A 27,486-nucleotide genomic window follows, 5' to 3' on the forward strand; every position below is an offset into this window, starting at 1 on the left:
TAGCTGGGCCTACAGGTGTGTGCCACCACATCTGGCTAATTTTTGGATTTTTAGTAGAGATGGGGTTTCACTATGTTGGCCGAGCTGCTCTCAAACTCCTGACCTCGTGATCCACCCGCCTCGGCCTCCCAAAGTGCTGGGATTACAAGTGTGAGCCACTGCACCTGGCCTAGCATAGCCTGTTGTTAAGCTCCTTGGAGTGTGGACCTGTCTTGTATGTGCAGTCCCCAAAAGGCCTTACTCATGACCTTGCATTCACAAGATCAGTTAGTGAAAGAAAGTGAAAGTGCAAGAATTGTTCCTCCTGACACTGAACTGCTTTTCTTGTTTGCCCAAGGTGATGAGTGGTGGTAGTGGCAGTGGGTACATATGTGTTGGCATAAGCCCAGGGCCAACTCTCTTTTATTGAGGGTTTTAGAGCTAATCTCCCAACAGAAACAAGTATTCCCAGGCTGGCCTACAAAAACCTATCCCATTTCTGTTTCTGACATAAGCCTGCAGCACTGGCGGAGCTACAGTTGGGGTTAAATTGACACTTGGGTGTTGGTCTGGCAACCTGACAACCACATACCAGGAACACCCTTCTCCACTCATCTGCCTGGTGCATGCTTCCTCATTCTTTAGGCCTCAGTGGAATGTCTCTTTGTGGAACCTTCCTGATCCGCCCAGGCAGAGGGCTCACCTCTTCTTTCTTGTTCTCACCGTACTGCGGATAGTCCTCTATTTTTCCAAATGCTGCCTTGCATATGTATCATTTCTATCACTGTCTCCTTTGTTCTTCTGTGAACTTCTGGAGGAACAAGGTTGTGTCTCACTTTCTCTTCTCCTGTGCCAAGAACTGTGCAAAGTAAGAAGATACTCAGTGAATGTGTTTGAAGGAATGACTACTGAAGTGTATGAGTTGTTGGTGTAGAGACATGCATTCCCAAGTGCTAGAGAATCTATTTGCAAGCATATTTTTGAAAGATAACATTTTTTGAAGTTGAATATTACTTGCACTGCTTTGTGTGCTGTCAGGGTTCTGCCATGGTAGCCAAGACTAAACAGCATCTTTCCAGTTAACCCAGTGAGGGTCCTGTGGTATGGCTAAGCCACGAGCTGGAACAGGAACCAAGTGAGGCAGGCCCTGAGGATATAGACCTGTTTTAGACCCTGAGAGAGAACAGTTGGCAAATAGAAGGTGGTATCCACTGGGTATGACAAGCAAGCATGGATCAGAAAAGCAGCTGGCTTTACAGAGTCTAATGGAATAAGTGAGAAGTCCTAAAGGTGGATGAATGTGGCAGTAGGAATCGAGGAAGATATCTTGTACTTCTGATGCTCTCAGGTGTAGGCTACTGATGGTCAGCCAGCATCAGGGAAGGCTGCCAGGAGTGAAGAGGTAGGGGATTAAAGGACGTACTGACAAGGACCTGGCAGAGCTCTAAACCAAGAGGGACACTGGTGTAAAGTCTTTTTGTCATTAATTTAGCAAATATTTATACCTACTGTGAAAATGCTTTCAAGAGGAGGCGAATTCTTGATCTGATTATCAGAAGGAGAAGAAAGAAGATGCCCAGTTACCAGCATTGAGGCATATGATCAGGGCTGGACTAACTAAGTACGGTGACATGATGTGAATTCCTCGTTACGGCGATAGAGCTCCCTTAGTGTCTTTTGTTTCCACTTAGGATTCATCCTAGAGGCAGGATGGGGCAGAGCTTCTGGGGTCAAATAAACCCAACAGCGGCAAGAAGAAGGCCTAGGGGTTAGAGTACCAAGAAGGGCCTGACAAACCATCACTTGACTGATAGAACTGGATCCAGCCTAGAATTGTTCATTAAACCATTAAATTGTTGACTGGCCACACCAAATGGTGGCATTACATAGCACAGTACAGGCAACATTGATTTTAATAACATCTTCTACTTGAAAAATAGTCCATACTTACCAAAATACTTTCACATTTCACTGGATTCCAAAGTTCTTTGATATAAACAGGGTGTTATATCCATTATTTTTTAGAGGACATCAAAGCACTAACAATTTAGATGGATGGTTTAACTCCTAGTTAGCTAGTGGCAGAGGCAGAACTAGAACCATGGGCTCCTTATTGATAGGTCACTACTCTTTCCTTTATCCCACTGCTTTGCTTGTGTGATGCTGTGACAACTTTTGGAGGCCACTTTTGCTGAGAATTCAGTCCAGGTCTGATTGACTTCTGGGAAACAGGACCTGCTGAGTCTAAGCATTCAAGAGTATACACTCAGCCATAATCATGAGCCCACGTATTGTTTCAGATACTTGCTTTAGGAAATATGCTTCAGTTCTGATAGTGGGCTATTATCTCTTTTTAGGAGGTCTCCTTAAATGTACTGAAGTAAATTAGCAATGCTAGAGATTTTAAAATATCAGTTTCTAGTAAAAATGCTTCAATTTTTGTGAATTTACCATGTTGCTGCATTATTGAGCTCCTCTGATGTGTCAGGCACTATTGTAAGATTTGAAGACATGGCAATAAACAAAATAGAAAAAATTCTGTCTTCGTCATAGGGCTTTTATTCTAGTTGGGGAGGGGTTATTTGTGAAGGAGACTAACAAAAACCAAGTAAAATATAAAGTATGTCAAATGTTGATAAGAGAAAAAATACAACAGGGAATGAGGACAGGATATGTGGGGATTGGGGGGACAGGGGTTGCAATTTTAAATAAGATGGTTAAGGGAAAGGCTTCACGGTAAATGTGAAGGAAATACATCGCTATGTACATCTTCAAAATCTACAAACATCAATAGTAAATTTCCAAACTACTTATATATAATTACTAGTGAAAAAACAAAAAAAATTAATGGGTATATACACACAGCCACACCTACACACAGATGCATGCACATATATACATATAAAATCTAGCACTTACTTTTCAAATTAACTCCCCACTCTTTATGCACCTAACAGATGAACTAAGTTTGAATTTATGTTTTTGTGCAACTATAAGAATATGGAATGTAGCTATTACTAATCTCTGCTTTTTTATTTGCAGACCTCCCACCGTTTAGCTCAGTGATAAAATTCCACAATAAATTTTGACTTGAAAGATTTTAGGATATCATGAAAATGGGAATGACGAATGAAGGCTGAGATGAGGCAAATATTTGGCAAATCCCGTGAAGCACTTAGAGCAAGCTTTATTAAGTGTGGTGGAATCAGATAATCATTACTGTTTTTATTTTTATCTGGGGTCAAACTTAATTAAAATAAAACATTTTCTGTGGGTTTTCTAATTAGCCTAACAATTTATTGGTCTCCAAAGATCTTTGTAGATGGTAACTTTGGCACAGAGTTCTAAAGCAGAGGACTCTGTAGATCTGGAAAGAAGTTGGAAAATAATTTCTTTAAAAACAAAACAAAAACCGTCCCAGGAAACACCATGAGAGAATGTTTTGTGACATATTGGGAATTCAGTTGAAAGGTATTATTAGGGAGTCTATGGCAAGCTGAGTCCCCAAATGCCCAGTTGATCGTAGTTCAGAACCCCAAAGACCTAGCAGGAAATGTTGTAGCTGCCCTCTTGTGGTCAAATGGAAAGTTTTGCCTCTTTGTCTTAATACTCATAAGAAACAATGATACATTTTTTCCCTGGAGTTATTCATTTAATAATCTAAGAGTAATGAAACATTTAACATTTTCAGATGGGCTCAAAAAAAAACACCTTCCCCCCAAAGCAAGATTCAGCAGATCAGTCAATACATATGTTTTAGTGGAACAAAACTCCTGGCTATTGGTAAATTATAATAAAATTGTGGTCCCTTCCACCACACCCCAAGTAAAGTCATCTGAGGCTTTTAAAGGAAATACCTAAGTCTACAAATACTTTCTGGTGGAGTTGGTGGGGGCTAACTGCAGAGGAATATGGAGGAAATAATATCGGGAAGTGCTTTGGTGCTTGTCAGCTGGGTGATCAAGGCTCAGTCACTTCACCCAAGAGCTTAGACTTTAGTTTTCTCACATGTAAAATGGGACTGTTCAAAGGCAACTTCTAATACCACTTTTAGCTCTGAAACGCTATAAATATGTGACCAGATGGACAAAACAAACGGCTTTTTGGTCTCTGGGATTTCTTTCCTTTCTGTCCGTGTGGCTTTATGATTAGTGAACCAAAAAGTTGTGAGGGGAATTGCGTGATGAAGCCTTTGAAAATTGCAGGGCTACAGGGAGATTAGTAGAACTGCCCCCAATGGTCTTGTGAGAATTTTTCAGTTTATTCATACAAGTATTGAATTTATTAAGTATCAACTATGTACTATGCATTATTCTTGGTGCTAGTACTACAAAATAAGTATAGAGGAGAATCCTTGTCTTTAAAGTGTTTGTAGTTTGAAAAAATTAAAATTCAATCATTTCTACGTAGCCTTACACAGTTTGCTTATATGTTCATATGGTTCTGGAAATATTAAGGGGAACTTACCTTAACTTTGTCTCCAAAGAGCTTTCAGGTGGGATCATCTTGAAGCTTAGCAAAACTCCCAGTGAACTTTGGCAAGAGCTGGGTCTGGACTCAAAACTCTGAGTTCAGGAGAAGTGTGCCCTTTGGTGAAGCTTCCAATGAAAGAGGTGTCTGACTATGCCCTGGTCATTCTGAAAACTGCTCTTCCATGGGCCATTTTTTAACATAAAAGGAAATCCTACTAAGTCCTATATCTTTTTGGAAAATGCCTTTTCTGTGTTCTGCTTTTACATTCATAACATACTATGAAATAGCTAATTTAACAAGATTGTGTTTTAAATGATTTATGAATTTATTCAAAATTTTTACTTTATCAGGCTAAGATTGTTTTCTTGGATTTGTTTATTCCTCAAGTCCTTGTGCATGTTCTGATGTCTAAAGTAGAGAAATAATCTTAAATTTGGCAACACTAATTGTTTTGGATGTGAGAAAACTTAAGCTATACATTATTAAAATGAAAGTTGATTTATGTTATTAGTTATACATATATACACATGTGTGCTATGATTAGGTTACAGGAGCTTGACAAAATTGATTATTCTAGATTACAAGAAGTTCTGGGAGGACCTCTTGATGACACAGATTTTTTTTCCCTGTTGCCTTGGTATTTTCGGAATATCTTACACATCATCTACTATATGTGGCTTTGTTGTAAGTTAGAGTTTGGTTAGATAGAACATTTGAACTCGATTCAACTTGGCAATGTGAAGAGCCTGGAGTCCAGTGATTCGTCTTAGGGAGGTGTTTGGGGAATAACAAAATATTTCAGAATCATTAAGGGTATTCCAACAGGGAATTTGGGAGTGGTTGAGATGCTTTGTGTGCTTCTAAGAAGGCAGGATGGGAGAGATTAGAAGAGGAAAATGGTTTTAAAATTTCACTCACAGATTTGTAAATATAGTCAGCATTGCTGCAGGTCCATAACACAATAAAATGATTACAAATTGGTAAAAAGATGATGGCTCTTTCTGGTCTCAGTTTAATGAAACTGAGATGTTAAAACAAAAAACAATTTACATGTTACAAAGGTAAGGTTATTAATGTGTGATATTAGAGCTCTTCCCTGGCCAAAACTCTGAAGACTTTTAGATGAAGCCTTTTAAATAAGTTTGTGATACCATTTTGATACAAATGGCGACACCACAGATCACTTCTTTATACAGATTTTCATGTAGAGATGCTCTGAGGAAGGTGCTGTGAAGTTTTGGAAAGAATAAAGACCTGGGTTCAGAATATGCTGGGTCAGTAATTTGCTGGCTGTGTGGTTGTAGGTAAGTTCTTTAGCCCCAGAATCCACACTTAATAAATTGAAGTGATTCTTCTTCTCTCATAGGCTTGTTCAGAAAAGGCTCCATGTTTTCTTCTTGCCACATCTTTCAGGTTTCTAGGAGAGTTTTGCTACATACCTGTTTTCCAAGATCATGTCAATCATTAAGGCCTAAAGAGCTAAAAAAAAAAAAGAGAGAGAAAAAAATATTGTTTGGGTTAAGTAGTACATGAAAATTTAAACTCCCTCTTTTAGCTATGCCAAAGAGGAACACATTTAACATTGAAGGCAAAAGAGTCTTTGCTCCATGGACTGTAAGGAAACTTGCATTTTCAGGTTTTTATTTAGGTGTGGAGATATGGAAAAGAGCAGGAGTTTACAATTTCTGCACATAGGGCTCAAAGGCTTATCCAGGCATTTTCTGCGTGGTTGTGTTTGAACCTGGTTGTTGATTGCTTTTCACGCAGACCTCTTTCCTACGTTCATTTTTTTCCTTCATTTAATTCAAACATTTTAACCATTGGGTGCACGTTATTGAACACGATTCTTGTGTCTTTACGGTTTAGCATCATTACCTAATTCTGGACGACAAGCTCAAATGTATGTGCAGGTCAAAAGTGAAGCCGGCCCTGTAATACGACTGTGAGTACTGGAGACTGGTGAACTGGGGACCTCAGTCCAGACAGCAGCCACCAGTCAAAGGCTTGTTGCCACATCAGTATGTGAGCTGCCTAGTGCCAGATCTTCCAACTTTTTTGAGAGCAGTCAGAAATATAGACTTGATTTTTAAAACACTGTGCAAATCAAACAGAGCTCATTGTCTGAGGACTGCTTGTTTTGTGTACTTGAGTTCCAGATACAGTTAGCACCTCTCTCACTATCTGTTTCCTAATAATGTGATAGTTAAGAGCTAGATAAACTGGGATCAAATCATAGCCGCATCACATACATTCTAACTGTGTGACTTCAGAAAGTTACCTGCTATCTCATTTATGAAGTAGAGATGATAATAGCTCTTATCTTATTGGGTTTTAGGGAAGACTTATATGAGCTGAAATACAGATGTGCTTAGAATAGTGCCTGGGATGTAGTAGGTGCTACTGAAGTGTTTAATATTGTTAGAGTCTCTTTTATATCATCTCACTAAGAGGCCACACTCCTCTTCTTGTGAGGTCTGGGAAGAGAGAAGGAAGAAGAAGGGAAACTACCCTTTATTGAGTATCTCCTGTTTGCCAGGAATTATGCCATGTGCTTTGTATAACATTTCCTCATTTAATCCTCATGTAGAGTCTTGAGTTAGATGTCATTTGCATTTTATAGTAGAGAGAACTGAGGCTCAATGAGATTCAGTGACTTGTCCAAGGCAGAAAAGGGATTTAGACTTAAGTAGATCTGATTCCAAACAGATCATTTTACTAGAAAGCTTACCACTCTTGATCCAGGGAGAGCTGTGAATTTGATGTTTGCTAGGAAATTGCCTTCTAAATGAATCCACTTGGTGTTATGAGAAAAACTTAGGACTGTAATGTTTCCTCCCCACCACCCACCCCCCAAACTGGGAAGGTATCAGGAGACCAAAATGTTTTGGACAAGTCCAGCTTGGTGAGTAGATGGGTTTATTAAGACTTACTTACAGAGCACTCCTGGGCAGCAGCAGGACAGCTCTAGAGATTCATCCCACTTCCCATCTCTCATTTAAGCTAATTATTTGGCTCTTTGCCTACTGTGCCTGTGTGATGGGACTGTTTTCCTTGGTATGTTTGTGTTCTCAGAGACACCTGCTCCTCGGCTGGGCACGACAGCCTTAGCTCACCACCTGGCCTTTAAGGTTCAGGCAGTGGACATATACCCTTAAGTAACCTGGTAGGGGACCCATCACACTACACTTGGAGCCAGATTAACTAGGGAGAGCTTTGCTCCTCATTAACCTACTGTCCCTGCTGGGCAAGCATCAGCTCCCTGAGGGGAGGGATAGGGTCCTTTTCTATCTGAAGCTCCCAACATATTCAGTGAACTCAAATGCTACAAAGATATGAAAGAGGGACTCAAAGTAGGCTCTCACAGTTTTGGAGAGTCTGGACATAGCATGCAATGATAGGTCTGGCCAGGCCAAGTATTAGCCTTTAATTCCTGCACTAAAAGCCCCTCAAATATTACAACACTTGTGCCTCCCTTTATAACAGTGTTCTTTATGGTATCAATTAATACAATCAGAGTAGATGGGAGGTGTGAAGGTGTGTGTGAAGGGAAGGAGGAAGGGAGCCAGAAAAGAAAGAAAGTGGGAAGCGTGTCTGTAGAGATAAGGAGAGCAGGGCTGTGAAAGGCAAAAGTCATTGGACAAACTTCCTGTCAGCTCCACAAAGTAATTTCAGCTTAGATGAACTTCCCAAATCAGGACAGAATCAAGAAGCACACGCAACAGTTTCCTTGGAAAGCCCTTTTCACCTCATTGGGCTCTGCTGAAAACAGCTTTTGTTTTTGGTAGGTGGAATAAAAGAGTATGAGAAGCTTACTCAGAATATCTATCTGCTGTTATAAATCACACAAAGTTTTTCCCAGTTAGGGCTTAAGTCACATCCATCTACAACTCTGAAGCAGAAAAACATGTGAGTCTTTCTGCTGGCCGGTGAAATGTTTTCAAAGGATTTTAATTCTTCTCCCATCTGAGAAGTTTGAACACACAACTTTCTAGTTTTTGCTTCATTGACTCAAATGTGTTGGGAGTCAGTGGAATTACCAGTCATGAACTAAATGATTAATAGGTCTGTTTTTAAGAATCAAGTGGAAAACAAATAGAGAAACGAGAACTACAGTTCCCACTCTGTCACTTTATCACTTTGCTCTCTGTCTCCCAGGAGACTGAGGGACAGTCAAGGCCACTGAGTCACCACCTTGCTGTTCCCTTTCAGTCTCTCCAGATGGAGTGCCAAGGCTGCAAAGGCTGCGCCGCCCCATCCCGGGGGTCAGGCAGGCTCACAGATGGACCTTTGGAAGTAATCCAGATGCAGAGCAACACTGAGCCCATCCATCCAGAGCCAAGTGTCAGTGTCTGAATCAATGTTCAGCAAGAGCTCTTTAATAAGCTTAATATCTAGAGTCCTGTACTTCCTGGCTGAAGGAGCTCTGGCAAGTTACTTACCCTCCCTGATTCTCATTTTCCTCATCTGTGAAATGGGAATAATCCCAAAAGCTACCTCACATGTGTGTGATGATTAAATGAGTTTTACCACGTGTAAAAAGGCTTTGTGCACATGTTCATTAATACTGTAAATATTAGTATAATGTTTTAGAGGTTTATTGATCACAAGAGCAGGTGACTATATTTGCACTGGAAATAACCCTTTTCAAAGTGCTTTTATTTTGCGAATGATTTTAAAAGGCACTTGGTGTGAGATCAGATACCTTCATTTACCACTCCAAAAATTAGAAATAGAAATCTCCATTTTATTATAAGCAGATTTTTATTCCTTTGTGTAAATTATCAAGATTGTATAAAGGGATATAATATGGTCTTGTTCCTTGGAGGGAGAAAATGGTGTAATTATACAGCGAAAACATGTAGATAAAGCAATGATCAATTAGATGGATTAAACATGATTAAAAACAGTCAAAGAGGGATAAAATTATTTTTTTTCTTTTTAAAAGAGGTAACTTTGTTCCATACTTACTGTTTCCGTATACTGGATTGTTTCTCATTTACACTAAATGGAACACAAAATTGTCCGGCCCAAATAAAAGTTTCACAAAGCTTGGTTTCTAGTTTGAACCAAAGGTGTTTCTTGGTTAGTATTAAGCAGCGTTATGAATTCTCAGGGATTATCCTTGGACATTTCCCTGTATCACATTTTTATAGGTAGGAGAACTGATCGGAATTACAGCAGCAAAGCAGAATTCAGAACTGGGCTCTGCAATCACAGATCTTCCCTTTGTAAAGCTGGGATGGAAGAAGTATAGTATAGCAGAAAGCCACAGGCTTTAGAACCAAACAGACCTGTATATGAATTCTGGATATACCACTTATTATCGAGTTTTGAAAGTACTAGTTATTTTAATAAATTTATAGAACAAACGAGTGGTTCTCAAAATTTATCATGGATCAGATTTACCTAGAAGGTATGTTAACACACAGATTGTGGACACCACCATAGAGTTCCTGATTAGGTAGGTCTGCTGTTTGGTCCCAAAATGTGCATTTCTAATTAGCTCCCAGGTAATGATGGGGGCCTCACTTTGATAAGCACTAGGATAAATTTTATGCAGTATGTTACGCTTAGATGGTAGGTTGTGAATAGCTGGTTAAGTATTTGGGGCTAGAGTTTCCATATCTACAACTCGGAAGAATAATGGGAAAAACTTGATTTCCCATAGAGAATAGAGATGTTGTATAGATACACCTGACACTTAGTGGGCAGTCAATAAATAGTAGATATTTTTCTCTTAGAGTCTGATACTCTTGGGTTCAAGTTCAAACTCTGCTGATTGCCAACAGAGTGAGCTGTTGTGAACTCCTTGTTCTCTTGAAACATCATTTATTTGTAAAGTGGATGCTATTAACTTAACTGTTCCTCCCTGACTCTCCCTGACAATTCATGAGTGGAAGCCCTAAAGCCTACTGTATTGGTATTTTGAAATGAGGCCTTTAGGAGATAATTGGGGTTAAATGAAGTCATGAGGATGGGGACCTCATGATGGGATTAGTGCCCTTATCAGAAGAAACACCTGAGAGCTCTGTCACTCTCCCTTTCGCCCTATCTCTCTCCGTACCACCCCCACCCCTCCACCATGTGAGGACACAGCGAGGAGGTGGTCGTTTGCAAGCCGGGAAGAGAACCCTTACCAGGAACCAAATCAGCTGGCACCTTGATCTCATACTTTCTGGCTTCCAAAACCATGAGAAATAAATTTCTGTTGTTTAAGCCACTCAGTCTATGGTATTTTTTTATGGCAATTCTAGCTGACTAATACAGTGGAGATAATTCTACCCTGTAAATTATGGATATAATGAGATGCTGTGCATACAGCACTCAGAACAGAACTGGCTACTTGTAGTGATGGTAGCTAATGAGTGTTAGTGTTGTTATTTAATAAGAACAATCGCCACTCTGTCGTTTCTTCCAATTTCTTTGCAGGATTTCTCCTCATGTAAACTTTGCTAAGTACTTTCCAAATATGATGGTCAACTATTGTGGGGCATGTGGATGAGATAAGAAGCGAGGGCTAATTTAAATCATTGCCTTTCAACTTTGTTGCTACAAATTAATTTCTGTCTCAGCATCTCATCTCAGGACCTCCCCATATTTATATAAGAACAAAATGGTATCAAACATTTTTATGTGTTCAGCCTATTCAATAGAGTAAGCCATCTTGTGTGGCTCATTTTTGTGACATTCCATTTTTCAGAGCACATTGGTCAGTTGTCTCCTGGGTGGTATCTTGCACATGTGTTTCCCATTAAAGTAGCAACTAAAGAGTGGCAACTGTGAATCTTTTCTGGCTGGTGTTCATGTTCCTTTTTCTTCTGTAATTAGCTTGGGGTGGACGTTTTTGGAGGAAGGGAGGGGGAGGCTTATTTATGAATTGAAAATTGGACTTGATACATGTGACACTGGGTTATATTGCTATGATGAAATTTTCTCCTAGTTCTCTCTGACTAAAATCTCTTCATGTATAAGTAGCTTCCTCAAGGCCTTATGCTTCTACGATGTTAAGCACCTAATTTTGTTTTAAAAATCACATTAAAATATGAAAGACTTAATTGAAGCTTTAAAAGTAAAAAGAAAGAAATGAAGTCAAATGCCTCTGATTATTTTAAGAACAATATTTTATCATGGTGAATAACTATCGGAATCCCCTCAACACAAGTAAACAAGCTGTCGGGGGTCATTTAATAGTTTTTATATTTTTACTTATCAAAAAGACATTATGTATAGCCACTCTGTAAAAAGTCTGGCAATTTCTTATAGACATACGTGTAGCATGTGACCCAGCAATCCCACTTCTAGGTATTTACCCAAGAGAATGAAAAGTTATGTTCACAACATAACTCATACATAAATGTTTACAGCAGCTCTATTTGTAATTGTTAAAAACTGAAAATAACTACGTGTCCTCCAAAGGGTGAATGGATAAACAAACTGTGGTATATCCATATAACAGAGTATCACCTAGCAATAAAAAGGAACAGATTATTGAGACATGGAGCAACTTAGATGAATCTCAAAGGCATTTTGCTGAGTGAAAAGTTACATGACAAAAGTTATGTGACATTCTTGACAAGACAAAACTATAGTGACAGAGGACAGACCAGTGGTTTGCTAGTGCTTAAAGTAGGAGAGGGACTGTAAAGTAGTAATAATGTTAGGCAATTTTGGGGGTGCTAGAATTATTACCCTGACTGCAGTGTTGGTTCCATGAATCTATACATGTAGTAAGATTCACAAAACTATACACCAAAATAAGTCAATTTTACTGTGTTAATTTAAAAAATAATTTATGACTTCAGGGTGAATAGAGAAAGACATTATGTCTCTTTCAGTAATTTGATGACATCCCAGTATGGTAGGCAGTGAGGTTTTAAATGTGTGTTGAGTTGAATCTATTATGGAATTTCTGTGCAGGTTGGAAATGTCAGGAAGACATTTATTTTTGCTTGCTGTGCATAATGAAGGAATGAAGGAAGGATGGGTTCAATTTTACCTATGGTTTCACATATAACAACCAGAAATCATAGGATAATATAATGAGTTAACAATACTCATAAATTTCTTTTTGAAATCTCTAAACCTCATCACTTATTAACTTTCTGATCTCCACTGCATTTCAGAAATGAATTGCATCTGAATTCTGAGTCTGAGATGCCCGAGATGGGAAGTGGTTGGGTCAAAAGTGGGAGTTCACCTTCCTTTATACAGCACATCAGCTCTTCATATCCTACCATCTGAAACTAATTTGTTGTACGTAATTTATTCCATAAAGTTGCTGGAATAAACAATGCATGCAAAGCTCCTTAGATATGTATTCAGCAGGGACTTACTTGGCTGTCTGTGATTTTCAGCTCTCTCAGTGCTTTCAGATGTACCATCCAGCACTTAGGATGTCATGTGGGTTCTCAGAGGGCCTATTATTTATAAACTAGGGTACTTGTGTGGGAGGTTTGCTATCTGTAATTGACATGACATGGGCCATGGTCCCCATTCCCAAGTTGTTCCTCCATCCAGTTCAGTGAGGCAGTAATGGGGAACAGACATGCCCATCCTGTGCCTCTGGTCCAGATGAACACAACAGTATTGGGATTCTTCGGTCAAACGTGTGAGAAATTACATTGTGGTTTGTCATTTGCCTCCCAGGAAATGAAATGCACCTCAGATGGTGCATTTTCCACTGTGGAAATTAGTTGCTGGGTGTAGCCCAGCTTTACTTCTGCGATGTGGATGCAAACACATTTTATAAAGTTCCTCAAATGCTTCCACCTCTCATCCTTAATGCTGTGAGCTTTGCTGAGTGATGGCATGATATAGAGAATAAGACACAGTTGTCCTCACAGCCCTCACAAATTTCTTTACAGTCCTTCCAACGCAGCACCCCGAAACTACACATTCCAAATTTCATTTTGCCTCTTTCAAAGAGGGGCTACACTAGAGTCAGTATGGGCCGCTTCTAGTGTTCTTTCTCTCAAAAATCCAAATTTTCATTTTGTGCCTATAATTAAGTCAAAGCAGCATGCTTAAATATTTCCCTTCTGAATCCTATTCCATCATTGTCACTTTAAGATAGAAAATACAGATAATTACAGAATATTTTAGAATAGTTGTCAGTTCTACACCTATCCTCTTGAGTTTCTCCTTGTAGCAAAAGAATTGTCCCCTCTGCAGGAATCATACTTGAAGGGCTCATACTTGAACTTTGGTACATGGTTTTCTCTTGCCTTATATTCTTGGAGGCCAGAAGTCCTTATGTTATTGAGAAATATTTTGTGAGCTTCTTCTATGTACCAGGAACTGTTCTAAGTACTGAAGAAATAAGACAAAGTCACAGGCTTTGTGGAGTGGGGGAAGAAAGGGGATAGACAAGGAAATAAAAAGATAATTTCAGAGCCTGTGAAATACTGGGAAGGAAATAAAATATGCAGCAAGATAATGATTGTAGGGATGGAGACAGTGCATTGTTTTAGATGACAGGTGGTCATGGAAGGCTACTTTGAAGAGATCATATTTGAGCTGAGTCTAGAAACAAACCAATGCAAAGATTGAGGAAAGAACATTATAGAGGAGGAGGCTGTTTATCCATCAGGCAATACAGGCAGTTTTCATGTTTGAGGGGTGGAGGTAGAAATTGCCTCTTTCACTATTATACCTAAGAATCATCATAACAATAAATACCTAATAATAATAATAAACAATTAATTAGCCATTCCCTCTCCTTAAAACCTTGGGATGGGTGGGTTTGGAGATCCTGTTGTCTAAGAGAGGATGACTTCTGCCAGGGAACATACGTCACAATTCTGTTAAATTGGGGGCTGCTGTAGTCCCTGCTTCTGTAGCTGGTCATATGTCCTATGTTGATAATCATTATGTTAATTCTGTGTTCCACCTATTCCATGTTCCCTTGCCCTCTGCCAGAACTTTGGCTGGTCAGAATTTTTTACTTGGTGGGGTTAATCGAACCTTATGCCTATGGGATACAAATTCTTAGTGATCTTATCTTTATTCGGTTACCATAATTTCCCACTGATCAGTATTTTTGGGCATAGGACTACTGAAGTGTGTACCACGAAATCCCTGGCTCCCAGACACAGTCTTCCTTGCCCCTACTATGTGCTGCAGCAACCTGATTTACCCTTGGTAACTGAGGTCAATGGCCTTGCCCAGTACACCTTGCCTGCTAGTGGTATTAGGAGCCCCAAGGAGTCTCAGCTTCCAATTGAACAGAACAATGTTTGGATATTAACTGTTTTCTTTCCTTCCCTTTTTCTGCTACTTCATATGAAAGGCACCGGTGGTGACTAACTTCATTTGCTGTGAAGAGATTTCTTTGATGAGAAGCAGTGCTATGTGGGATACCATGAGGGTGGATAAGGCATTCTGTAAGATGGTAGTTTTGATGGAAGCAATGCAGGCAGAGGAGGAAAATCCAGATCCAGAGTAAGTGATAACTGCAGTAAGGACCAAACACTGCTCATTCCATGAAGAAAGAGGTCCAGTGTAACCAACCTGCTACCAGGTAGCTGGCTGATTACTCGGGGAAAGGTGTCATATCGGGGAATCGGTGTTGGTCTCTGCTGGCAGATTGGGCACTTAGTAGTGACCACGGTTGGCTTGCCCTTGGGAAGTAGAAACCCTTGTTGCTGGGCCCGTGCATACCCCCATACTGCCATCATGGTCACTTTGTTCATGAGCCCACGGGGTGATGACAGGGGTGTTTGGGGAAAGAGGCTGACTGGTATCTGTAGAACAGGTCATCTTATCCACTTGATTATCAAAATCCTCTTCTGCTGAGGTCACCCTTTGATGAGCATTCATATGAGACACAAATATTTTTACACATTTTTGCCCATTGAGAGAGATCTATTCATATACCTCTCCCCAAATTTGTTACCAATTTTCTAATCATGTTCCTCTTAAGCTCTTGAGCATCCAGATAAACCATTAGCTACAGCCATTCACATTGTACATAGTTGTACATCTGGCCATGTTTCTTGCTAAGCAAAGTGCACAACCAGGTATTCTTCTTACTGGGCAGATTTCCCTTCACCACTGTCCTTCAGGGATATCTTACAAAAAGGCACTCAGTAAATAGTGAGAATAACACACCCAAATAAGAAATACATTGCCTCCAAAATCCAAAGAGGCCCAACAGGCATTATGCCTCTTTCTTGGTTGTAGGTGAGGTCAGATGCACCTTGGAAGGGACATCACAACATGCCCCACAACACTGGACCCCTAGAAATTTCACTGAGGTAGAAGGCCCCTGAATTTTTGTCAGATTTATTTTCTACCCTCTTATATGCAAATGTCTTATCAATAAGTGGTAGAGTAGTTGCTACTTCTTGCTCGCTAGGTCCAATCAGCATAATGGTATAATGTAATGAACTACTGTGATATTTACCTTTGAGGTAGAACAGTGAAGGTGTATTGCTATCCTTGCCAGTTGAAAGCAAACTGCTTCTGGGGGTCTTCACTAATAGGCATTGAGAAAAATCTGTTTGACAGATCAATAGCTGCATGAGAAATACCAGGGAATGTGTTACCTTGCTCAAGCAATAAAACCATATCTAGTACAACAGCTGCAGTTAGAGTCATCACTTGCTCAAGTTTATGATTATCCACTGTCATTCTCCAGGATCCATCTGTCTTCTGTACAGGACAAATAGGAAAAATGAATGGGGATGTGGTAGGAGTCATCACCTCCGCATCTTTCAAGTCCTTAATGGTGGTGCTAATCTCTGAAATCTCTCTAGGGATGTGGTATTGCTTTTGGCTTACTACTTTCCTAGGTATGGGTAGTTCTAGTGGCTTCTGTTTGGCCTTTTCCACCATAATAGCCCTTACTCCAGAGTTCAGGGAACTAATGTGGGGATTCTGCCAGTTGCTGAGTATGTCTATTCCAAATACGCATTCCAAAATGGAGAAAAACACCACAGGATGGCTTTGGGCACCCACTGGACACACTGTGAGATAGGCCTGAATTAAACTGATTTCTCCTAAGCCCCTAGCCTGACTAGTGGGCTACAGTGACTTTTGGATCTCCTGGAATTAATGTCAGTTCAGAGCCTATGTCTGGTAATTCCCGAAAGATCTGATTATTTCCTTTTCCCAAATTCACAGTTCCCTTGGTAAAAGGCCATGGATCCCTTTGGGGTAGGCTGAGAGAAATATTATTAATTTTTGGCAGTGTATCAAGGTCTTTCTTCAAGAGTACCTGGCTTCCCCTTCATTCAAGGGGTTCTGGGTCTGTAAACCAGTTAAGTCTGGGAATCAATTGAGTGGCTGTGACTCTTTTTATGGTTCAAGTTTGACTTTTATTCAGTTGACGTAGAACTTTTCTGCTTATACAGATCAAGTAAGAACTTAGTAGGCATCCTAACTATTTCACTTCTATAAACACCATGATCAAATAGCCAATGCCATAGGTCTGTGTGAGCCATGTTATTTTAACTGCTGCTTCGACTCTGCTGTTCATTCTGGTAATCATGCCTACCATGCCTTTGGGGGTTGAATGCTGCCACTTGGCCCCTCCCATCCCAGAATCGAATTATTCCCATTGCATTTAGGTTTCCCAGTTCAGTAACTGCAGTTCCCATTGTGAAATCTGGCCTATGGAAAAGAGCAATCACAGAGCTCTTCAAGGATGCTGGGGCTCCGTTCACAAACTTATTTCTTTTAATTGTGATGAAAGATATGTTTACTGGACCATTCTAGGATGGGTTAGTAGGTCTTAAATGAAAAATCCACTCCAACATTCCAATTTTCCTAAGCCTTTCAACCCCTTCCTCTACATTAAACTGAGGGATATGGGGCATTTCAAATTTGCTAATGGTGGGCTATCTTTTGATCCATGTTTCAGCCAACCAGTCAACCAACCAACCAGTCAAACAATTATAGCCCTTTCTAAGTCCCCAAGCTGAAACATTAAACACAGAATCTCTGGTTAGTGAGCCCATATCAACAAATTTGACCTGATCTTATTTCATGTTCCTTCCACCATTATTCCATACCCTTAATATTCCTTTCCACACATGTTCCATGGATTTCTGTCTGTGTAAGTTAGAAAACCTAAGTACTGTAGTTCTTTTGAAGTACAGCACACCTTGTCATGGGCCACACTTTGTACCTCATCTTTAGATGCCTGCTGGGACTTGAGTTTAATTATAGGTCTAGAAGCAAAGAGGAGTCGGGGTGGGGGGGTGGGGGGGTGGGGGGGGTGGGAAGAGGAGGGTGGGGGGTGAGTGGTGAGAAGACTCAGCATTGTCTTGCATGGCAACTGCCTCAGGGGAGGTCATTATACTTTTCTCAGGCACTGCAGGGTTAATCTCCTCAGATAAGAGTGGAGAGGACAAAAACTCACCAAAACTTAGAGGCTTAATGTCCCCAGCTTTATCACTGTCTTCTTACTTATGGCTATTGTAACATTCAGGATCCCCTTCCTTCTCAATCAGTCCAATCCAAGAACTGCATATATTGGTCTGGAGCACAAGGAATAGTCAGGCTAGAGATATAAATTTGTGATTCATTAACATATGGATAGTATTTAAAGATATGAAACTAAATACCCAATCCCTACTTTCCCTCAGAAGAGACTGTAGATGGAGAAAAGGCCTGAAGACCTAACTAGAAGGGTTTCTAAACTTTCATATTCAGATATATACTATTTCTCTGGAAAGGAGAATTAAAATGATGATTTTCAATACAAACCGCTTGTTTCTCACTAATCCACTTACTATCCAAATAATTTCTAGAGCCCACTATGTGCCAGGAAATGGTCTAGGTACTAGGGATAACATAGTGAACACTACATAGTTCCAGCTCTTAGGTACCTCTATTCTGGTAGAAATGACAGACAATAAAAAACTCCAAACAAACAAATATGTAACCAAATGTCAAGTAGTGATAGATACTATGAAGAAAAAGCCAGATAAGGGGATAGAAAGTGATGGATTGGAGGGGATATTTTAAATAGGGCAGTTGGAGAAGGTGTTTCTTAAAAAGTGTGGAGACAAAGTAAGAGCTAGCTACGTAAATGTCTAGAGAATGAAACAGAGTTGGGTATGGCAGGCAAGGAAGAATGGAAGGAACCGATAGAATGAAAAGCTAAGGGTCTGATCTGTAAGGGTGGGTAGGGAGAGAAAAAAGAGAGTGACGGAGAGAGGAAACTGGAGAGGTGGGAGGAAAGGAGGAAGAAAAGAGGTATAGATAAGCCAAACGGGCTGGGGCTTTTAAGGGTTAGAAAATAGACATTGAGCAGCTATGGGGGCATTAAGAACCAGAAGAGATTCCTAGAAGTAGTGCTGAAGGTTATAAATTGTTTTTTGCTTCTGCTCTTTTTCAGATATAAATAGAAGTGGAAACAATTTTTTGAATGACTTATGGCCATTGGCCTGTATTTCTTTTTAATGCAACACTCCACTGAAAGTGGGCCATATGGTTTATATTTGAGTTATATTTAAGAAACATTAAATTTATGTTTCACATTACCTGCAGGAAAGTGAATACAGATATCTTGCATAGTAGCCTTTTCTCCCTTCAGGGAACATATTCAGCTAAGTCCATAAAATAGATATACATAACATCTGTACAGTATATAGTGTGATAGTTGTCAGAATCAAAATGGAGTTGCTGTGCCAAAAAAAAAAACCCTCTGCCAAACTGAGCTGGGGAAGGACATGAAGAGAGGATTCTCATTCATAAATGCCAGAAAACAAAAACTATCGCAAAAGACTGCAAAAACTGCAACCTTGCACAAGCTTCTGCTAGGACCTCTGCTCAGCAGCTGCCTGTCCAACCTTGGACTGGTGTCACTCTTGTTATTAATCCTTGTAGCCAAAGATATTATCTCAAAACAATTAGGTAATCCTCATTTTTTCTTTAAAAATCTTTGTTTTCCTTTACCTTCTGAATATGCAATAGTTTACTATGGCACATGTATTCCCATTGGAATGCAATTACTTATTCCCAAATTCATATCATATTTTTAAGAAAGCTTCTCTCTGATTGCCATTTAAGTTGATATAAATGGCATCCAGAAGTGGGACCTGAGAAAGGATCACTATCAGAAGGAACAGGTGATTTCTGGGGCTGGTATGCCGTTCTCATTTGAGACCTTTGAGCTTTCTGCTTCCGTGGCTCACTTCTGCCCTGGTAAGTCTTTTCTCAGGCTGAGCTTCCCTCTTTTTGGTAGAAACTCTTGATTTTATTCAGGATTTGGTTTGGTTACAAGACCACCTTACATAAAAGATCTTACATGCCTCCTACAATAATAAGATATATATATATGTATTTCTGACAAGTCATTTTTGGTATAAAAGGCAAGTGTCCTTTTGTTTTGAGTAATCTTGTTTCTGTGGAGTTTACATTCTGTCTTTGAGGCACATCTTACCCAGTGAATTTACTTTTGGTTTTTCTGTATGCCTAATTGAATATTTTGTTTCATCTGCACACCTGGGTTAACATTTTTGTGAATACTTTTATCTTAATTTCATTTTAGCTTGGTTATGTGCATCTGTAAATTATTTCACTCCTTTCCCTTGCTTGCTTCTAAAAATCTTCGAAGAGCAAAAATAAACATCTTAAATGGTGTGTGCTGGATGGCTAATTAAAAGCCCCTAGTGAGTTGCCACCATCTAAAACATCAGTCCAATCCTATAACAGGATTTATAGGATGTTCTTTACTCATCAGAGATTGATAAGAAACAGAATGGGATCCTCAAACATTAAGGTATACGAGGTGTTCTGGGACCCCAGCCAGCTATATTATGGCCCATACTTAACGCACGTTTCTAAATGGCCTATACTTGTGCACATTTCTAAACTGATGAGCAAATTACATCAGGGAAGATTCAGAGCCCAAATGGTCATTGTTCAAACTGTCTAAAAACCTCTAGAACTATATGGTTAACACATAGAGCTTTCCAAGTTATCTTTCTCTATTTTTTTTCTGCCTATTTTGAATATGCTGACTTTTCTACAAGTGCTGAAATAAAACTTAGTGATTGTGGCATTCTAGACAACATTAAAAAAAAAAACCTTAGAGGGCTTTCAAATTAATGACTTTAAAAATTACAACAGCTTCATGGTAACCAACAGTCTAAACCTAAGAGCAATCCCTTTTAATGTACATTTAGGTGTGTCTGACTAACAATTGCTTAGGGCAGTGGAGCAGTTAATTGAAGGATTGATAGTCCGTAACTACATAAATGTATATAAAACGTAGGCTCTCAGATCAAACAGGTCAAAATCTCGAGCTCAGAGCAATAAAATAAGGTGTCTCCGTCTGGCATAAATATTTCATTGCCTGACATGCAGGGGCCAAAAAGAAAAAGCCAAAAAAAAAAAAAAACCTTGCTAAAATGCTTCTCCACCCACATTAACTAGTCAAGCAAACAAGAAGAGCAAATGAAAAGAGCGATTTGTTACTAAAAATTCAAGGCCACTTGGAGATCCGTTTTTCTCGTACAATTCAGCCAGTTCCAGCTAAAATGCAAACATTGAAAATTTAACCCTAAACTTATTTGAAACTAAAAAAGGGATAAAATTTTTTTTTTTTTAATAAATCAAACTACTACAGAAACTGCTTTACCCAAAATTTTGGTCCATAAACTTCATTAGATTACTTATCAGGAGAAATAATAGTTTTAGTTACATAAATGGGTTACATTTTGTCAGGAATGTAATATAGATCCAATTGTCTTTTATAAACCAGTGACTTTGTATGTTTCACTGTCTTGTGACTAAAATTCTAAAATGAAAGCTATAAGATCTTTGTGTATATATGTGTTTAGGTATGTTTATGCATATGTGTATATATCATGTTATATGTTGTGTCTATGTTTTAAAATCTAGTATGGTCAGACAGAAATCCCTTAGGAAATTCTATTCAGATTGGCTTAGATAAATGGAGCACTCATATAAAATATATGGTAATTAACCCAAATGCCTTTTAGTTCTTGTGACTTAAGCAAATCTTTAAATAAGCTAGTTTTAAAATCATTGGTAAAATAAAAATAAAAATGTCTTCAAAATTGTCTGTATACATTTTTCCCAGGGTCTACTGGTCAGACAGTTTCATATTTGTCTCTGCTAGATGTTTTAAGGTGTCAAGGTTTGACACAAAGGTTATAAGACTAAACCCAGCCTAAAACAGAATGATCTTTGTTTGTGTAATTGCTTGATAAGACTAATTTAATATTGTTGGCTTACTAAAAACAGCTGTATTTATCAGTAAAATATCCATATATTTAACTTTAAGATTCTTATTTAGGTGAGCACCTGATATTCACAGGCTAAACAATGGTTAACAGGAAAATAACTTGAAATGATGACTAGAGCTTTTCCTAATATCTCAGTTTTCATAAGTAATTTTCATAAAATTGTTAAAAATAAATAAATTAGGTAATTTGAAAGAGGTAAATGTTTATAAATAAATTTTCATATAATTTGAGATTTTAAAGTTATTTTATGTGGAATTAATAGACATAAATTACATGTCTGGATGAAAATTTCCAAATAAATTAAACCAATAAAAATCTGTTTTCTCTTTATAGCTGGCAACGTTAGTTATATTACCAAGGCTTTGACTGGAATATCATATTTGAAAATGCACATAGAATGCCTGGCTTCAAGGGTTTTCAGCATTAAAGTGAATAGATTAAAAATTTCACTTCCTGACAGGTCCAGGAACCTTAAGACTATAGATGAAATCTAAAGTCTGCTTTGGCTTGGCTTCCTAGCCTCAAGAGGTTTTTAAATCTGAGATTCCTAAGTGACCAATTTAGAAAGAAAACGTTATGTTTCCAAAGGAGAGTTATAATACACCTGTTATTAGATTGTAGCTCTGTGTATTATTTCAAGTCCTTGTTATCAACCTATAAACTAGACTAGATCATGAATTCTTCCAGATCCCTCCAATTCAACTTTTTTTCCCTTGAAATTATTAAAAACTGAACCTCTGTTCCTGAAGCTTCATAAGCTGAAACTAGATGAATTTCAAGAAACAAGTCTCATGCCTGATGTAAGGGTCCCAGAAAAAGTTCACCAAACTCTCCAATTCCTTAAACGGACATATTTAAACTGAAAACCAGGACAAGAGGTTGAAGTTTTTACACCATAGAGAACTTTTCCGAAGATGTCAGAACAAGATTCCATATTATGATGAGTCTCTTACCCCTCTTAATGTCTACCTTTTTCTTTCGGCAGGATAATGGTCATTTGATTTACTCGATTGGTTGCCTGTAAGCATAGGTTTCATGGCTTTAAACTACATGCAAACTGGGATTGTCATATTACTATTAATCTTACTTTGAATTTCCCTTTCTCGAATTTTGTATCTGTTACTCATTACATTTTTTCAGAAATACAACTTCTAACAGAATAATGCTGTCCCAGCACTTTGAAGTGACAGCCAAAGGCTACAAAACAGACAAAATTGAACTTAATAATGGACTCCTGGTAGACTTAGCCTGAGAGGCTCTCCCTTCAAACCTTCTTTGTTGCTCAAATGTGGCTTTAAAAGGGCTTTAACGCTGATTCCCAGCTGCCATTCACACCCTCCTATACGAGATCAGACCAGCAACCTGCACCAGATCCAGCCAGGCCAGGCACTGAGGGATGTCAAAATCTAAATATAGGATAATTGATCAGTGATGTTTTTGGAGAAAGATATTGATCAAAAAGGGGGAAATGTAAAAGTTGTCAGAATAAAAATAGAGTAACTCATGTTAAAAAAACAACCCTGACAAATAGAGCTGGGAAAAAAATAATGAAGAGAAGATTCTCATTCATAAATGCCTAATAACAAAAACTATCATGAAAGACTTTGCAAAAACCAGAACCTTGCACAAAAAAATAATTCTTTAAAGACATTTGCCGAATAAGTGCCTACCCAACCTTGGACTAGTGCCACCATTGTTATTGATCCTTGTAGCCAAGGATAATTATCTTAAAACAATTATCTAATCCTCCTCAATTTTCCTTTACAAACCTTTGTCTTCCTTTACCTCCCTGAATATGCACATAGTTTACAATGGCACATGTATTTCCATTGCAATGCTCTATTTCTGAATAAATATCATTTTCTTTCAGAGAGCCCTCCTGTTATGTAGGTAAACAATACTATATGGTAAGTATCCACACAATTTATATAATTACTTGTATCCAATAATGTTCAATCCATGTCAAAGCATATTTATTTCAAGACTGTTGCTCCTCTGAAAACTCTTGATTTTATGAAGAATAATATAAATTAAGTTTTTAGTTGTTTACTTCCTTTATTAGTGTGTAAAGTTCCTTAGGAAGTGACTTTGGTTTGTTTTCTTTTTGAGACAGAGTCTCACTCTGTTGCCCAGGTTGGAGTGTAGTGGCATGATCTCAGCTCACTGCAAACTCTACTTCCTGGGTTCAAGCAATTCTTGTGCCTCAGCCTTCCAAGTAGCTGAGATTACAGGCGTGCACCACCATGCCTGGCTAATTTTTATATTTTTAATAGAGACGGGGTTTCACCATGTTGGCCAGGGTGGTCTCAAAATCCCAACCTCAGGTGATCTGCCCGCCTCGGCCTCCCAAACGTGCTGGGATTACAGATGTGAGCCACTGTGCCTGTTTTGTTTTGCTCACTGCCTTATCGCAAGTGCTTAGAATAGTACCTAGCACATAATAGGTGTTCAATAAATTTTCAATAAATGAATTAGTGAGTGAAGTATAATGAACCTACTAGTCAAGCCACCTTGACCTTCCAACCAGAAAACTCTGGAAATATATGTGAATTTAGACTCATTGAAAGTAGAATTTAACATGTTATTATTACTATTTTTTAGAAACAGGGTCTCACTCTGTTGCCGAGGCTGGAGTGCAGTGGCATGATCATAGCTCACTGACACCTCTAACTCCTGGGCTTAAGCAATCCTCCCACCTCAGCCTCCCAAGTAGCTGGGACTATAGGCATGCACCACCATTCCTGGTTATTATTATGTTTTTAGAGATGAGTCTTGCTATGTTTCCCAGGCTGGTCTGGTCTCAAACTTCTGGGCTCAAGCAATCCTCCTGCCTTGGCCTTCTAAAGTCCTAGGATTACAGGAGTAAGCCACCATGCCCAGCTACTATGGTATTTTTTAATAGTAATTACTTTGTAGCACTTTTTCTTATAGTAACATTTATTTTAGTGCTACAAGTGGGAAATAATCCTTATTCCAATAGCAATACCTATTTAATCTCCATAAACACTTAGGTTAAAAAAATAGCAAAGATAAACCGACAAAAAAAGTATTCATTTTCCTCCCAAAACAGAAAAATGATCAGTAACTTTAGGTTGTTTTACTTAGTAATGTATTTAGCTAGGAAGGTACGAATGTATCATAGGCATAAACACGCAACTAGATTTGTACTTCTGGTTTCAGTGATAAATCCACAAGAACGGTGGTAAATGATAGGTGTTTTAGCATCTTGGGCTCACCTCTCTTGAAGAAACATTTCTCTTCAGGGTTAAATTAAGACTGTGTATTTTATTGGATGACCATGAACACATCACAGCAAATCTAACTTGAGGTATTTACTGGTGCTTGTTTAGATGCTGAAGGCAATGCATTAGGAACTGATGGTGACTGATTCTTATCCAATCAGTTCCTGATGCAGTATCTGCGACATCAAAAACTATGTAATAATTATACTAAATATCATTTATTTCCAAATGCAACAACTTTATTCTCTTTTGTTCCTTCATATGAAATTTGCAATTTAAAAAACTCTTTTTAATGTCACTTAATAAAGCAATCTAAAGTCATACTAACAAATAATTTTCCCAATTTACCAAGAGAGATATATTACAATATAACGTGTATGACTAACTTAGCACAGACATTTATTTCATGGCAAACTATTGTGCTAGTGTGAATAAGCATTTATAAAGGGTTTTTTAAAAATAGCTTTTTAAAATTCTATATCTAACCTACTAATCAAGCCACCTTAGCTTTTTTTTTTTTTTGAGATGGAGTCTTGCTGTGTTGCCCAGGCTGGAGTGCAATGGCACGATCTCCGCTCACTGCAACCTCTGCCTCCCGGGTTCAAGTAATTCTCCTGCCTCAGCCTTCCACATAGCTGGGATTACAGGTGCCTGCCACCATGCCCAGCTAATTTTTGTATTTTTAGTAGAGATGGGGTTTCACCATGTTGGCCAGGCTGGTCTTGAACTCCTGACCTCAAGTGATCCACCCACCTTGGCCTCCCAAAGTGTGGGAATTACAGGAGTGAGCCACTGTGCCGAGCCTAAAAATAGCTTTTCTTAAGCCACTCAGTCTTGTTTTTAAATGATAATTTAAAAAATATTAAAGCCCTCAAGTGGATTTGAATGAGAAAATTCTGATGAATTGTTTAATTTTAGATTCATTGATTAGGATAAACTGTATTTCATTTTCAAGATAAGTTTATTATGTTTTCCTCCCTGCCAGCTTTATTGAGGTATAATTGGTATACAGAATCTTCATGTATATAATCTGGTAAGTTTGGACATATATATATATATATATATATACACACTGATATTAGCATTATCACAATCAAGGTAATAAACATATTCATCACTTCCAAAAGTTTTCTTGTTTATTATATTACTTTAACCACACTAGAATTCTAGCTCACTGAAATGATAAAGTTAGATTTAGAATTAGTACATATGGGAGGCATGTAACAACTTGAAGAATGTGGTGGCCAAACCTATAATTCTGAGAGTGTTACAGGTTTTCTACCTTATTAATAATTTTGCTAGTCATCTTTTGGAGAATCTCTCATTAGAAAATTCTAGTTGATCCTCTAGAATGCCTCCAAATATAGAATGAATGAAGGACTCTAATATTACTTAGCAAATTCATCATTCTGTCCAGTGGGACTCCAGTTTACATGGGCTATTTTGGACATAAGGGGTAGGAAATAATTGGGTAGGGGATTCAGAAGTAGAATAGAGGTGGAGCTGAGAGGTGAAGATCATAGAAATGGAGACTGAAGAATCCACTTTTGGCTTTCTGTCTCATTTATCTGGATTCCAAATAGGCTTGAGAGTTAAGGTTAATCATATTTTCATTTTACAGATAGTGAAAATTTGGAGTACATTAAAGTATCTTAGGGACATAATTTCTAGCTTATTGTTTCTCTCTCTAGAGGTCTTATATGTGATCAAATACAGTATCTCAATTGTTTACCAGACATTTCCCTAAAATCTGTATATCTTTTCTAAAGGGTATTCAAATGAAGCCAAAGACTTGTAAGCAGAGTGGTCTTAGAAAACCTAAAGACTCCTTACTGGAGAAGGAACCCCAGGAGGAGCACCTGAGAAGCCAGTTCATCATGATGTTCCCCTCTAGTTAGTATTGTCTCTCTGTAGTTATAGTTTCTGAGTTTTGCAGCAAGATTTGACAGATTAGGGACTTGGGTTAACAACTCTTGTGGTGATTGGGAAACCAGTTTGTATTGTGTCATTTGTGTGCTGGGATGAATTGTGATAAGATAGTGAAAGTAGGTGAAGAATAGGCTTTCTTAAGATTTGATTGTTGCAAATATGCTCTATGTGATCTTCCTCAGGTAGTGTCATTAATTAAAAATAACAGGGCAGGAGTCTTGTCATAATTTTAGGCTTCTTTTGGCTATTATCTGGAGTGTCCAGCATAAGACTGCAAGTTTTAAAGTCCCAAGGACTGGGATACAGTTGGCTGGGATGACTGGATATTAAAATGTCATCTTTCCTTACAAACTACTGCAGGGAATCAGATGGGGAAGGAGAGATTCATCAAGGTGGGTGAAAAGGTCCTCTAGGCCAGTGGCTCTCAAAGTTGAGCAATAATCCACAGGCTTGTTAAAATATAGATTGCTGAGACCCACACCTAGAGTCTCTGATTTAGTAAATCTGGGATGGGGCCCAAGAATTGGCATTTTTAACAACTTCTCTAGTGATATGGTCCAGGGGCCATAATTTTAGAACCAGTGCCCTACCCTAGGCAGAGACTATTTGAGTTATTGGAAACAGGTGATCTCAAACAGGAC

At 38.6% G+C, this 27,486-nt stretch overlaps 2 long non-coding RNA genes and 1 other non-coding gene across 3 annotated transcripts in view, besides 1 other annotated feature; 1 reads left to right on the forward strand and 2 right to left on the reverse strand.

Moving 5' to 3' along the window:
• LOC105374690 (uncharacterized) overlaps positions 1–27,486 on the forward strand; it is a 231,734-nt gene that overhangs the window by 12,128 nt on the left and 192,120 nt on the right. The gene's annotated exons all lie outside the window — the stretch shown is intronic.
• The window catches only part of MIR217HG (MIR217 host gene), an 83,921-nt gene continuing 61,889 nt past the window's right edge, over positions 5,455–27,486 (reverse strand). Inside the window, exon 3 of the long non-coding RNA NR_126406.1 lies at positions 5,455–5,931. This is a non-coding gene — a long non-coding RNA (MIR217 host gene). The remainder of the gene's footprint in view (positions 5,932–27,486) is intronic.
• MIR217 (microRNA 217) lies at positions 25,016–25,125 on the reverse strand. Its single transcript, NR_029630.1, has one exon. It is a non-coding gene; the product is annotated as a microRNA 217 (primary transcript).
• Positions 27,409–27,468: an enhancer, noted in NCBI's record as "active region_15788". NCBI's record gives its function as "activates an Ori minimal core promoter by ATAC-STARR-seq in GM12878 lymphoblastoid cells {active_cell/tissue: GM12878}" and the evidence as "EXISTENCE:reporter gene assay evidence [ECO:0000049][PMID:35858748]".

The sequence above is a fragment of the Homo sapiens genome, chromosome 2, assembly GCF_000001405.40.
Source record: "Homo sapiens chromosome 2, GRCh38.p14 Primary Assembly".
Taxonomy (NCBI): Eukaryota; Metazoa; Chordata; class Mammalia; order Primates; family Hominidae; genus Homo; species Homo sapiens.